This window comes from Homo sapiens, chromosome 22 (assembly GCF_000001405.40).
Source record: "Homo sapiens chromosome 22, GRCh38.p14 Primary Assembly".
Taxonomy (NCBI): Eukaryota; Metazoa; Chordata; class Mammalia; order Primates; family Hominidae; genus Homo; species Homo sapiens.
The window spans coordinates 33,877,610-33,892,980 of record NC_000022.11 but is presented as its reverse complement, the minus strand read 5'-3'; the positions used below and the strand labels follow the sequence as shown (position 1 = coordinate 33,892,980).

General features: G+C 45.1%; 1 protein-coding gene across 18 annotated transcripts in view; it reads left to right on the top strand.

Moving 5' to 3' along the window:
• LARGE1 (LARGE xylosyl- and glucuronyltransferase 1) overlaps positions 1-15,371 on the top strand; it is an 856,162-nt gene that overhangs the window by 29,844 nt on the left and 810,947 nt on the right. Inside the window, exon 1 of one of the 18 annotated variants that reach the window (XM_047441599.1) lies at positions 6,326-12,429. The exons of the other annotated variants lie outside the window; for them this stretch is intronic. The gene's annotated coding sequence lies outside the window, so the exon portion shown is untranslated. Of the gene's footprint in view, positions 1-6,325; positions 12,430-15,371 lie in introns of those variants that run through there. 18 annotated transcript variants of the gene reach the window in all.

Genomic DNA, 15,371 nt, shown 5'->3' with positions numbered 1-15,371 from the left:
TTCTCCCTTTTTAATCCCCTTCCCTCACTCCACGTTTGCAAAGCAGTGTTGCATTTTTCTTTTTTGAGAAATAGGGCATGATGTGTGCCTGCACACGGGCTCTTGTGTGTGAATGGGAATATTGATTTATTTCACAATCAGAGATCCATGAAAAAATAACACTGTGAACATACACATTTTTGAAATGCTGCCTCTTCCGCTGAAGTACAGTGGAGTGTAGGGACCTGTAGCAAACTAATATTTAACGAGGGTGCCACTGTTGTACCACCTTTAGAATTCACAGTGGCTGCTAGTGAAACTGGCATGTGTCTTGACAAGGCTGTGAAATGTAGTCAGTCTTCTTTCATTCATTCATTTGTTCATTTATTCAGAGCCAGATGATCATTTTGTATGCATGAAGCACCTGAGTGGTGGATGTGATAGGCTGATTGCATTTGTGGCCTCAAATCTTCACACGTTTCTGATTTCCTACCCAACTCCTTTGACTTTTGACTTTAAGTTTCACCATGTGACTAGCTTTGGCCTGAAGTATGAGGTGGAGGGGATGGTATGCCAGTTTTAAGCCTATGCCTTAAAAGATCTTGAGCATTTCTGCTTTTTTGTGTCCCTGCCTTTGCCACAAAGAGTGTGCCCTGCCAGCTGCTGGTCAGAAGAAGAGTAGGAGAGGGGAGCAGAGCCACGCAGCCAATTCATGGGCCCTCAGTGAGAAACCAAGCCCAGTCTAGATCAGCCAAGTCCCAGCTGACCTGCAGGTGCATGACTAGAAATAAGTGATCGTTGCCTCAAGACACTGGTTTTGGGATGGCTCATTAGGTAGCATTATTATGCAACAAATGACTGATGTGGTGGGTTGCTAACATGATTCAGACGTGAATCCTGTTTGAAAGAAGCTTTGTAGTTTTGTGAGGGTGGTGAGAAGGCCAGGACAAGATTGTGAACTCTCGTACGTGGTAGAGAAGGTACGAAACGTCTTAAGAAAGGACTCATGGTGAGAGTGGCTTTTGAGAAGGCATTTTTAGGTGATGTTGTCAAAGTCGAGAATAGAAGAACTATTAGACTAGGATCCTATCAGACTAGGATTTTGAGTTAAAAATATGTGATATTTCAAAGTTGATTTCATCACAGCCAATGCATCGATGCCAATTTTCCGTTAAATTTCTAATGACTTTGCTTTTGATGAACCAAAACCAGCTCTTACAACTTAAAGCTACGCTGCTGTCAGAGAACATCTCCGTTTGATAATAGCCAACATTTACAGTGCTTATCACAAAGAATTTTACCCAGCATGTATTTGGTCTATGTACTGTGTGCCAGGGATGTGTTTGCTAAGCATTTTATAGGTATGATCTCATGTAATCCTCCTCATGATCTGAAGAGTTGTAGGTACTAATGTTGGGTCAATTTTCCAGGTAAATTAACCAAGCCAGAGAAGGGTAAGTTACTTGCTAAAGTCATGCAGTAACATCGTATTCTCATTCTCCTTCCTGCACCTGTCTCTCCTAATAGAATGGCATCCTCTCAATACAGTTTTTTTTTTTTTTATGGCTAGCACATAGCATGGTGCCTTGCACATAGTTGTTGCTCAAAAAGATGTTTTTGTTCAACAAAAAGTGAATAAATCTTTTAAAAAGGAATAATGGCTTCATCCATGTCCATATGGAAGTCATAGCCAGTAAGGAAATGAATTTCTGGACTAATTCATATAAAACAAAGGGGCAAGTTTAGTGGTGGAGATATTGGAAATTTTTATAGGCATTTGGTAGAGCACAGAGGAGAGCCTCTTGATTCAGCCTTGAAAGATAACATTTCTGGAGCTGGTGAACTCTGAAATGACTCTCAAATGAGGGGTCTGAATGAGGCAAGGGGGAAGCAAGGGGCCTGCCTGTTGAGGAGACGAGAGTTCACAGAACCGTATGCAGCTTCCCATATGCACAGAACCGTATGCAGCTTCCCATATGCACAGAACCATATGGAGCCCAGGGTAGCTTCGGGGACAGGTAGCTGCTCAGTTGTAAATGTTTGTTTTTCTGAGCTGTTGCATGCCTTGGCGCTAGGGCAGTAAATCTCTGAGCAGCTATGCCCAGTAAAGTCATGAAAACTTGAGTCTCTGTAGTCTCATAACCCCTTATTTCCACCTGCCTAATGCTTGTTGCTTTAGGGAAACTGAGGCAGCACCCCCCCGCCCCCACCCCAAAATTATGACCTCCTCTGTCCTGAACAACCTGAGGAATTGTTGCCTATGAGGGCTGGCTTATCACGAAGCTCATGGTCCTTTTGAATAGATCTGAGAATTTTGCAGATATAAAATAAATTTGAAATAGCTTGTTGTAGTTTAAACCTTGACAGCATTATGTGCAGTGATTCTTGGTTTTTGAAACAATTTCTTGATGATTCTCAACTTGACTCAGACTCCAGCATGTACCTGTGAGATTTTGGTGAAGTTCTGTTGCAGAGTTTTGAGCCTCAGTTTTTTCATTTCTTGCAGCTTTTTGAGCCTCAGTTTTTTCATTTGTGAAACAGAGATAAAATATGCCTCCTAGAATTGCTGTGCGGGTTAATTTGAAAAAAATATGAAGAAAAGCTCATTTTTTTTTTAAGCACCAACTACTGTGCCAAGCACTCTTTTTAGCCTCTATATGAATGAATTCATTTGACATTTTAAATCCTCACATAAAACCCTAAGATGGAATAAACAGGAGTGTGAGCCCCGCCTTGCATCTGAGGCATTGTGGAGTTTGGTAACTTGCTTAGGGCTACAGGGCTGGGTAGGGGAGAAACTAGGATTTGAACACCAGAATTATGCGCTTAACCCTGAAGCTGTAGTAGCTCTGTTCCTAGAATGTGGCAGGTGCACATGGGTCGCTAGTTCCCCTCTATCTTCAGACCACTGTCGTTGTTCTCTCCCAGGCCTGAGGAGCCAGTGGGCCAGCTGGGCTGGGAGGGCTTGGCAGGGCCCTGGCCTGGCTCCCCACTTATGGGGGGCAGAAACCTGGGGCCTCCCTTTCAGCACTGACATGGCTGGTGGTTTGCATTTGCCTGTGTGTTCCTCATCTGTCTATCCCATGAGGTTTCACACTACACAAGGGCGGGGGCCATTTCCGTTTTCCTGGTTCACACTGTGTTTCTGGCACCGAGCTTCACATCCTTCCCTCATTGAACACTCAGAAAGTTATGAATGAATGAATACATTTTTATTTAGTTCTCCCCTCCTCTATCTTCTGGTCACTCCAGACCACTCTCCCTTTAAGACCCAGTTCAAATGACCCCATCCCCTTGTAGGTGCCTCCGTGAGTATTGCTTGCATCTCCTTTGTTTCCTGTCCATGAGCCCCTCCGGGACCCCCTGCAAACACCAGACCCAGAGCCTGCCTCCCCATGTTGGATGTTCCCAATCAATGGTCTTGGCGTGAGTTGATTGAACAGAGTCCCTATTTGAGAAGAGCCTGACTTATGTCTCTGCTAGACTTTAGAGGGGACCAAGAATAAAGGGTCTATTTAAGGAAACCATTACACAAAATTTCCAGATACGTATTATTCCAGCTCCAGAATCTCAAACTTCTGAATGGATGGGCTCCAAAAAATACACTTTCTTTTCTCTCATTGAAAAAGATGTCATAAATGGCGCTAAGAAATGCTGCCGGTGTGCAGAAGTCTGCCTAGCCCAGGAGGGAGCTTCCTGGACCTTTGCCACGAAAATTGTCAGACATACACTTGCAAACCTGACAATTAAAACGGAAGACAATACAATAGAATAAGAATCTTTTCCATTTCTGTTGAATGAGGGGGCTTGAGAAAAAGCTCACGAAATTAAAAGGAGAATGAAGACGCTTCTGAAGGGAGCTCGGTAAGAATTTTAGGGGCAGGTGGCATCTGTTATTTATTGTGCCAGTTTTGATTTCAGATTACAGTATATGCTTTCTTTTGGGGAAGTGAGGTGATATCCTGGTTGAAAGCTCAGGCTTTAGGGTCAGGCAGATGCTGATTTACATCAGGAACTTAAATGTGTAACTGACTTTAAGTAAGCTACTCAAAAACCACCAGTCTCTTCATCTCTAAAGGGAGTGAAGTATGTTACAAAACTCGTGAGTGTTGTATGAAGATATATTTGTTTTTTGTTTTGTTATTGAGACAGAGTCTTGCCCTGTTGCCCAGGCTGGAGTGCAGTGCTGTGATCTTGGCTCTCTGCAACCTCTGCCTCCTGGGTTCAAGCGATTCTTGTGCCTCAGCCTCCCGAGTAGCTGGGATTACAGGCACGCACCACCATGCTTGGCTAATTTTTTGTATTTTTAGTAGAGATGGGGTTTCGCCATGTTGCCCAGGCTGGTTTCTAAGTCCTGATCTCAGGTGATCCTCCCACCTCGGCCTCCCAAAGTGCTGGGATTACAGCGGTGAGCCACTGCACCCAGCCTGTGTGAGGATATATTCGAAGGTGCTTTGTAGGTAGTTGGAGGGCTCCATAAATGTTACCCACCTCCCCCGTGTGTGATACAAATATTCTTTATCATGAGCTTTATTAGTACAGTTGTCCACCACGTGCACATCATTTCTTGGTTGGAAGGGAAATGGAAGGGCATTTGCAAATGCAGAAGGAAGGGATTTTCATGAGGTCATTGAAGATGGTGACAAAATGGAAGGGAGGAAGGAGTTTGTTTCTCAAACAGTGTTCCTTCATGGGCTCATGGATGTTCTGTAAGACTTTTTTTTATTACTTTTTTTTTTCGTTTTTTAAAAATTGACCTTTTGATGTCATCTAAAATTAATATAAGCATCTTCTGGGTCATGAATGTGACTACTTATAACCAAATACTGGTCCTAGGTGAGGCATTGCTTTGGTACAAAGTGGTCCCTCTTCAATTGAAGAAAGAGAATGAAGTGCAGAGGGGCCTGACTGTGGAACGGGAGCATTGGTGGTTCCACAGTGTTGTCCACATTGGGAAGGAACGATGGAATGAGCTCCATGCACAGGGTGGGGCCACCATCTTCAGGAGAACCTGGCCAGCCTGAGCAAAGTGGACCATATTCCTTCTGGGAAGTGGTGGTTTAGGTCAGGGGAATAGAAACAAACGTATGTGACGTTCACTGAAACTTGTATTGGCGTTGATCTTCAAGGTAAACCTTGTAAGTTTGTTTTGATTTCAAGATTGTTTTAGAGCAAAAATCATAGGCATGAGAACCTTGTCCTAGTCTGTTCAGACTGCTGAAGTAAAAATACCATCAACTGGGTGATTTTTTTTTTTTTCTTGTGAGATGGAGTCTTGCTCTTGTCACTTAGGCTGGAGTGCAGTGGCACGATGTCAACTCACCACAACCTCCACCTCCAGGCTCAAGCAGTTCTCCTGCCTCAGTCCCCCGAGTAGCTGGGATTACAGGCACCCACCCACCACGCCTGGCTAATTTTTGTATTTTTAGTAGAGACAGGGTTTCACCATGTTGTTCAGACTGATCTCGAACTCCTGACCTCAGGTTATCCACCCGCCTCGGTCTCCGAAAGTGCTAGGATTACAGCTGTGAGCCACTGCGCCTGGCCAGGTGACTTTTAAATAACACGAGTTTAGGTCTCGCAGTGCTAGAATGTTGGAATTCCAAGATCAAGATACCAGCAGATTCGGCACCTGCTGAGGGCCTGCTGTCTCTTGGCCTTCTCATTGCGTCCTTACGTGAAAGAAGGGGCGAGGGAGCTCTCTAGTGTTTCTGTTTTAAGGGCAGTAATCCTATTCTCGAGGGCTCCACCTTCATGGTATGAACAGCTCCCAAAGGCCCCACCTTCTAATAATACCATCACATTGCGGGTTAGGATTTTGACAAAGCAATTTTGGGGGGGACATCGATATTCAGACCACAGCAGAACTCATTCGATGTTCACGTGCTGTTCTTTTCACTTGGAATTCTGTTTCCTTCACTTCCCCACCCTGGCCTCGATAACCCCTGCTCTGACCCAGGTCTCTGTTTAATTACCGCTTTTTCACCCTACCATCACCACCTTGCCCAGACCAAAACTTGCCTTCTGTATTTGTAAAGCCCTGCGAGGCACTTTTCCCAGTTGACTTTATAGGCTTTTATGGGATGTTCTGGTTTATTTGTTTCTTCCCTGCTGGACTGGAAGCTTCACAAGAGCCAGGGGTGTCTTTTTGTCGTTTTCCTTGCCACTGTATCCTGCAGTGGTGAGCGCAGTGCCTGGTACTTGGTGCTCAGTAAACATTTACTATAAAAATAATTTTTTAATTTTAATGTCTTACATGTTTTTCTCTTCTCTTTTCTTCTCTTTTCCCTCCCTCCCTCCTTCCCTCCCTCCCTTCCTTTTTTTTTCTTTTTTTTTTTTTTTTTTGGCAGAATCTCACTCTGTTGTCCAGGTGCATGATCTCGGCTCACTGCAACCTCCCGAGTTCAAGCAATTCTCCTGCCTCAGACTCCTAAATAGCTGGGATTACAGGTGTGGGCCACCATGCCCTGCTAATTTTTCTATTTTTAGTAGAGACAGGGTTTCGTCATGATGGCCAGGCTGGTCTTGAACTCCTGGCTTAAGTGATTCACCTGCCTTGGCCTCCCAAAGTGCTGGGATTACAGGCATGAGCCATTGTGCCCAGTCCACTTTAATGTTTAAATAACATAGGAATAAAAACAGTTTAAGCCCAAACTAGATTCTCTGCCAGTTTCTTTTCTCTAAATGTGCCCCCTAGTCACACAAGTCACAGGAACATCCTGTAGGACGGCTGGAGGGCCTAAGTCAGAGTGTCTGAGTCCCCAAGTGTAGGAGAGGAAAATGGGAGGTGGGAATTTACTGGGTCCTTACTGAGCACCAGGGAGCAGGATTGCTGTGGGCTGGCTTCCATGGATCTAGCCTGCACCTCAGCTTGGCTGCGTGGTTACCTGAGATGCTCACAGGAGGGAGTTTTAATTCAGTGATACCCTTCCTGGGGCTCACATCTTTTATTTTATTTATTTATTTATTTATTGACCAGAGTCTCACTCTGTCACCCAGGCTGCAGTGCCACGGCATGATCTCGGCTCACTGCAATCTCTGCCTCCCAGGTTCAAGCAATTCTCATACCCTAGCCTCCCCAGTAGCTGGGATTATAGGAACGCCACCACGCCTGGCTAATTTTTGTATTTTTTGGTAGAGATGGGGTTTTGCCATGTTGGCCAGGCTGGTCTCGAACTCCTGGCCTTAAGTGATCCACCTGCCTCGGCCTCCCAAAGTGTTAGGATTACAGGTGTGAGTCACCACGCCCGGCCACATCTTTTATGATCTTTTATGAGAAACTTGGGCTCCAGCGGAAGGTGAACAGGAAGTTGTAGGTTGGGTGGTTCATCTCCCGGAGGGTAGCTGAGCTGCTTATGCCTGCAGTGAGACCTCTGAATGGGTGTCACTCACTAGATTTCATTATAATTATAACTTTGTTTTAATAGCCTTTCAGAGTTTATAAAGCACATTAACAAGCTTCATATTGCTCTATCAATATCAGTAGTTACGTAAGGCTGCCTTATGATACTGATATGAGATAAACATTCCTATTTTTGTAGATAAACAGACTGAGGCTTAGGGGGATTGGTGTGAACTTGGGGCTCGGGACTTCACGTGTAGTTAGCCATCTGAAGTACTGGTGTGTACCCCAATTCTACTCCTGGGATGAAGTCTCAGAGGCAGGAGTTGGAGCTGCCCCCTCCGCAGAGGGTCAGCTAAGATATCAGCTTGAAATAAAGTGGCTCAGTAGCAATGTAATTATATTTTCAGCAACTTAAAAAGTGATAGAGTCACTGGTATAGGAAGCATGGTATCGCCTGTGGAACACACACCCTTGTGCCCTGCAAACCTGGGTTTGAAAGCGAGGGCTGTCACTTTCTGGCGCATGTGGATTATTTAGCCGATGAGCCTTAGTTTCTGCATGGGCAAAACGAGGATGATAATGGTTAATCAGAGCATTAGGATGAAGTGAGTTATCATTTAAAAACTGCCTAACTCAGCATTTAAATAAGTTCCAGTAATTATTCGTATTCTTCCCAAGGTTTTACCTGCCCTTTTATTAATTCCTCCCCCCCATGGAAAGCCTCACAAATACATGTGCTGTTGGTGCCATCATGGGCTCAGGGTGACTCCGCCTTTGTGTGCTTGGCAGCATCTCAGAAGCTGCAGAGAGCCTGAGCTTCAGAAAACAGGAGGGGAGGTTGATTTGTGCCATCAGGAAACCTAGGGTTGCTCCTGTCATTGTCCTTTGTAGACAAAGGTTGACTTTTGGAGTAAGTGCACGCATGCCACTAAGAGGGTGATTTGCAGGAGGTGGAGGCTTTCCTTCCCTGGGTAGGCAGATTAAAGGCGGGGTTGCCGGCCCTCCGCAGTGTAAGCCGTGACCTCGAGAATCTGGCAGCTCCGCGGGATGGTGGCATCTGGCCTTTCAGGGCCTCCCCAATCTGGTCTTGCCCGGTCTCCCACAGATTCCCTGCATAGTTGTGACACTCCAGCCAAACTGACAGTCACTTGGATGTGGCACATGCCTTCCCATAGTCAGGCCCTTTGCGTGGGCTGGCACAATATGGGGGCCTCAGAAGAGAAGTGGGGTTTGATAAGTGGGCTGCTTCTCCCACACTGACTCACCCTGAATGATAGCAGTGTGTGAAGAGCACACTCGTTAATGCCATCAGAGGAAAGAGGGTCAACGTACAGTGACCCAGGATAATGTTCCCTGCAAGCGCATGATCGCTTTAAAGTGCTGTGTTCCCAGCAGTGTGGACGGACAGCTGCAGTAATGATTCGTACACAGAGGAAGCTGGCATTGACCGAGGCCAACCGCATGGCCTTGGTTTCTGCCCTGAATGAGCTGACATTCTTGTTGAAGGTGAGACAGGTGGTGTGGTTGGTGGGCAGAGACCACCTGACTTAGATAGGTTCAAGTCTTTATTTTTCTCATTGATTCATCACACAACTATTTACTGTGCACTACTGTATATGAGGCACTGTTCTAAGTACTGTGGGACTGTTAGTAAACCAAGGGACACGAGTCCCTGCCTTCATAGAGTTTGTGTTCTGGCAGAGGGAGATAGACTAACACACAAAACAAGGAAAACATACTGTGTCTCCTGTGGTGGTAAATACTCGGAGAGAAGAAAATACAGAAGGGAGAGAGAGGGAGGGTGGAGTGTGTGTGTTGGCAGGAGTGGGTTAGGGTTTGCGGTTTTAAGGAGGTTGGTCCGGGAGGGTTTGCAGAGGTAATTGGAGGAGATGCCTGAAGGTGGTGAAGGAATGAGTCATGGGGCTTTCTGGGGAAAGAGCCGAGGCCCATGCCAGTGCAAAGGCCTTCAGGCCATTTCTTAATTGCTAATAGAGAGACCACAGAGGGGTCGTGTGCCTGGAAGGGCGCAAGCCCCTAGGAAAGTATTGGGAGAGGATGACAGAGAGGAACCCAATTGTTCTGGGTCTCCTGGGCACAGTGTGCATTGGAAGAGATGCATGAGCTGATTCATGTTTATCAGGATCACGAGGCTACTTCTTGGTTGTGCATTGGCCCCAGGTAGCAAAGGCTGAAACAGGGAGACTGCGGAGGGCTGTACTTCAGGCAGGAGATGAGGGTGACTTGGGCCAGGGAGCAGTACTGGAAGGCTTTGAGAAATATATGAGTCTGAGTCTCTGCTGCTTACATTCTCTATGACCCTGGTTGAGTTACTTTGTCTTATTACACTTTAATTTTCTTGACTCTGCAATGGAAATAATAATACTGAAACTTCCTGGAGAGGCTGCAAGGTGGTAGCCAAGCATCACCCTGCTTGCAAAGCAGCGCTCCCCGACACTGTGGGTGCTGGAGGTGTGTGCATGGCCCTTTGCATCATATCTCACTGGAAGGGTCTTAAGCTGCTGAGGCTGAAACGTAAAGATAACAGCAGCTTCCTGCCGCACAGACTTCTCCGGCATTGGCATCCGAGCATATCTTTAGAAATCTTCTAACCCATTCTTGGTTATTATTTGCAATCCAGGGCCCAAAGTGATGAGTTTTCCCATTTTCAACATAATTCATCTGGCTGTGTGTCATGTCTCATGGCCTCTTGGATTTGTGGAGAGATGGGGGTGATTTGTAGACGCACGTGAGGAAAATTGGATTATGGAGTGATTAGTTAAAAGAGCGCTCCATCAGTCTATTGAAAACCCCATCGTTTGGGGCTCTTGGAGTTCAAGTTAATCATAGCAAAGGTAGGAGAATGGCAGGAGAAAAGTAAAATTCCTGCCCATTTATGTAAGCAGGGGATGCATACCTGTTGTCCCATGATCAAATCTCACAGGTTTCCTAGACATGCTGAAGTGAGGTAATTCAGTGCATCCTTTTACTCTGTGGAATGTATGAAACTTTTATTTGCAAAATACCTTATTTGTAGTCTTAGTTGCCTTATATGATAAAGATTAGCCTTCCTGTTCCAGTGTTACTGATGAGAGGCTGAGTTTCATCTTTGGTGTTTTTCCTAAGCTTTAACAATGCCCCCCTGCTGAGAGGTCTCCTGGCTGGCATCTGCTTCCCTCACCTGCCCCTTTATCACTGCTGAGGGTGGAACTGGGTGTGGGGGGGCATCTTGGTATGATTTGGATATAGTCTGCACTGACTTGAAACACAGGCATTTCATTTGCCCCAGGTTACTGGCCTTTTTTCATTTCATAGAAGGCAAAGAGAATTGGCCGGGTGCGGTGGCTCAAGCCTGTAATCCCAGCACTTGGGGAGGCCGAGGCGAGCGGATCACGAGGTCAGGAGATTGAGACCATCCTGGCTAACACGATGAAACCCCGTCTCTACTAAAAATACAAAAAATTAGCCAGGCATGGTGGCAGGTGCCTGTAGTCCCAGCTGAGGCAGGAGAATGGTGTGAACCCGGGAGGCGGAGCTTGCGGTGAGCCGAGATCGTGCCACTGCACTCCAGCCTGGGTGACAGAGCGAGACTCCGTCTCAAAAAAAAAAAAAAACAAAAAAAAACAAAAACAAAAAAACCCCGCAAAGATAATTGATAGCATTTGCGGGTGTGGCAAAGGTGTTAGTACCTCCTCTCCTCTGTTAAAGTGCTATTGGAGACTTTCATTCAGCCATATTTGGCCTCCTGGTTACAGTACTGCCCTGAGGGCTTTGCAGTGTTAGCCTGATGTCTGGAGAACCTGCCCCATGTGCCACTGTTTTCATATTCAGGCTCATGAAGATGATCACTCACTTAAGGGTTCCTATTTCCTTAACCTTTTGTAGTGAGACATTGTAACTTGTTTCCTGAAACCGCAAGGCTTAACATGAGTGAAATATACTCTGTAGGTGGGTCTTTTTCAAAATAAGGTCCATGGGTCTATATTCTGTATGTTTTATGAGAGGGAACTATTTAAACAAAACTGTTCAAATTGGGGTTTATATTTTGATGAATCTGAAAAACAAATGGCTGTGATTCTTTGCTGTGATAATTTGCCATGGAAACATATTTTTGTAAGACTCTGCCTTTTAACCACACTTCTCTTCTTTAAAAAGGGTCAAGTTATTACCCACATTTGATAAACCCAATTATAATTCTTATTTCTTTACCTTTCATTTCTCAAAAATCCTTTCCAGGTGATGAGGTTTAGACCAGCCTTCCCACACAGATGCTCACCTTTCCTCTGAGTCCTCCAGCTGCTCATTTGGAGAGCTGGAGGTGACTTCGCCTGGGGGATTTAGTGCAGGGACTTCTGGGGGCACCAGGGCCCGCTACAGGCTTTGAGCAAGTTGCTTGTTGAGCTGGACAGTAAGCCATGCAGCGTGTTGTGTGTGCAGAGCTTCTTTTTCGGCCCCGGGGGGCTCGTAACTGTGTTCTGGAAACCTGGTACACAAGAAGGCATCTGGAACGTCAGACTCTCCATATGGGAGCCTGTCAGAGAATGTCGTCGCGTTTTGGCCTAGCAGCCTCTGTGGCATCTTTATCGAAAGTAAAAAAAAAAAATTAAAAAAGCTACTTATTAAGTAGACAAGGACAGTTTGGAGGAGGACAGTTTGTAAGAATAGCATTTATTCTTTGCAATCAGAAGGCTAAAAAGTACATTAACATACATTCAAAGTATATTAAACATAAAATATATTCTAATAAAAAGTACATTCACGTATAAAATAAATCTCGCTTCCATCCCTCTGCTGCTGGGTTGGCTGTCCACAGAATGGGCACAGCGAGGCAGGTGTGAGGGAGAAGCATATACTTATGTTAATATGTATGTCAAAAGTAAGAGGAGCAGAGGGAATGAAAATATCCATATGAATTTTTTTTTCCAGAATTTAAAGCAACACCTAGTTGAAGATTCAGATGAAAACGTCTCAGTCCCTTATGGCTGGGAGGTTTAGCAAAGCTTTCCCAGAGGAAAGAACACATCATTTGTGTGGGGTGGCTCTGCTTCACTGAAATGACCAGAACGTAGCTGTTAAGCCTGGGAGGATGGGTCAGGCCACAGGATCAGGTAAGAGTGTACCCTTCAGGCCGCACATGGCAGAGACTGCACATGACTTGTGCACGGATAAGGTCTGGGCCTTATCTCTGTCTCTTCTGGCTCTGGAATATAGTACATTTCTCAATTAAGCCTCAGTTTCCTTATCTGAATGCTGGCATGGTAATGGCAGTCTTGCAGGATAGTTAGAATGTTCAAATGAGAGAGTCTATCATAGTTTGCTCTGCTGTTTGCTCCATAGAAGCTGCGGATGGTTGAGATTTTGGTCAAGACCTTTCTTTCGTCTGATCTGACTTGGGTCCAGATACTTGGAAAAATATGGCAATCATGCTGGGTCCAAAAGGCTGTGGGATTCTTTTACTTCAGCTTAAACCTGTTTTATTGGTCTTCCGGAAATGCTTGCAGAAATAAGAGCATGTTAACGTGGGTGGACACAATTTGGAGTGCTTGATTAACTCAGCAATTAATAAAAATGGAGAGGTGACAATTGGTGTTACCAAGCTACAGTTGAAAGCAGTGCACTTGGCCTCTCTCCATGCAAGCAGATTGGTGGAGAAGCCACCCATGGGGAAGAACATCAGAATTCAGAAGAGTGAAGCAGGTTGGGAAAAAGGTACTCAGAACAAAAAACAGGGTGTCAAGATGAGCTGGTTGCTTATTACATTCATTTAATCAGCAGATGCTTACTGAGTAATTCCCATGTACCTGATACCGTGCCAGGAGCCGAAGATACCTACATGAATTAGGCATAGCCTCTTCTTTGAAGAGAGGCTGATGCTGTTTTGGAGGTAACAGACATATAAGCAACACATTCTAATACACTATGGCGAGTACAGGATAGATGGTGTTTCAAGTTCATGCGTTACCAAAGTAAGGAGTGGTTAATTAATTTTACTAAAAGGGAGAGAACAGTATTGGCTTTAAAGAAAAAGTGGTTTGAGCCAGACCTGCCAGAATAAGTCGATGGGAAAAGATATTCTAGCACAGAGGACAGGAAGAGCAAAGACAGGGAGGCCTAAAATGAAGGGTGGATTTGCAGTTGTTAAGTGGGAAGACTAGATATAGACTGGGTTTGAAGTCTACTCTGCCACTTACTAGCTGGGTGGCTGTGGACAAAGCAGTAAGCCTTCCTGTGAGTGGTTTCATCATCTGTCAAATGGGGATGCAGGATCCATGCCTCATGGGGCTGTTGGGAGGATTCCATGTTAGTTTAGTGTGCTTGGGATGTTGTGACCCCTCCTGAACATTACAGCCCTGAGGCATCCCCTGTTCTTTGATGTGCTGTATATAAGAAAAGAGACTGGGCGTGGTGGCTCACGCCTGTAATCCCACCACTTTGGGAGGCCGAGGCGGGCAGATCACCTGAGGTCAGGAGACCAGCCTGACCAACATAGAGAAACCCTGTCTCTACTAAAAATACAAAATTAGCCAGGCATCGTGGCGCATGCCTGTAATCCCAGCTACTCGGGAGGCTGAGGCAGGAGAATCGCTTGAACCCAGGAGGCAGAGGTTGCGGTAGGCTGAGATCACGCCATTGCATTCCAGCCTGGGCTCGGAACTCCATCTAAAAAAAAAAAAAGGAAGAAGAAGAAGAAGAAAAGAAACTGGGACTAGAAATGTCACTATGGCCAAGTATTGAAAGCATCTGAATATCATGCATCCTGATGATATCTCTGCAAACATTTACCCTCACTCTTTTAAAACCATATCTTAAGCTATCAAACACTTATCCTATTAAACACAGCATCCATCGGTGATCCCAGTGACAAGTAATTGAATGTTAGTTCTGGAGTCTTTCCTGGGGTGATGGCCTGGAGAAGCCTCTCTTTTAAGGATTAGATTCAGAGGTAGAGGTAAATGAGTGTTGAGCACCAGGAAGAGCTGAGTTCAGCATTGAGTTAGATCTGGGGTCAGATTCTGGCCTTACCTTTGTTAGCCGCTTGACCTCAGGCACATCATCAGGTTCATGTTTAGTTTCTACATCCATGAAGTTAATGTATTTATATATTGAGATGTAACATTTTCTCTGAAGAGCTGGGATTGAAAATTCCTTTGAGAAAGGAATTGCCTTCGTTTAGGAAAACAGTTTGATAAGCTAGAACAGCATTTTGTCAGATAGAAATACAATATAAGCTGGCCGGGTATGGTGGCTCATGCCTGTAATCCCAGCACTTTGGGAGGCTGAGGCGGGCGGATCACAAGGTCAGGAGTTTGCGACCAGCCTGGCCAATATGTATTTGTATACTAAAAATACAAAAATTAGCTGGGCGTGATGGCGGGTGCCTATAGTCCCAGCTACTACTTGGGAGACTGAAGCAGAATCACTTGAAACCAGAAGGTGGAGGTTGAAGTGAGCCGAGATCACACCATTGCGCTCCAGCCTGGGCAACAGAGCAAGGCTCTGTCTCTAAAAAAAAAAAAAAAAAAAAAAAAAGAAATACAATATAAACAACATACATAATTTTAAATATTTTAGTGGTCATATTTTTAAAAAGGTAAAAAGAGGTAAAATTAATTTAATAATATGTTGTATTTAGCCCAGCATAACCAAAATATATATATATAAATTCAAATGTTACATTCTTTATTTCATACTGTCTGGACTGTGGTATGTATTTTATTATTATTATTATTATTTTTTTGAGACAGAGTCTCGCTCTGTTGCTCAGGCTGGAGTGGAGTGGCATGATCTCGGCTCACTGCAGCCTCTGCCTCCCAGGTTCAAGCGATTCTTGTGCCTCAGCCTCCCGAGTAGCTGAGACTAGAGGTGTGCACCATCACGCCCGGCTAATTTTTGTATTTTTGTAGAGACACGGTTTCACCATGTTGGCCAGGCTGGTCTCGAACTCGTGACCTCAAGTGATCCCCCCACCTCAGCCTCCCAAATTGCTGGGATTACAGGTGTGAGCCACCGTGCCCAGCCTGTATTTTAATTTATAGCACAGCTCACTTCA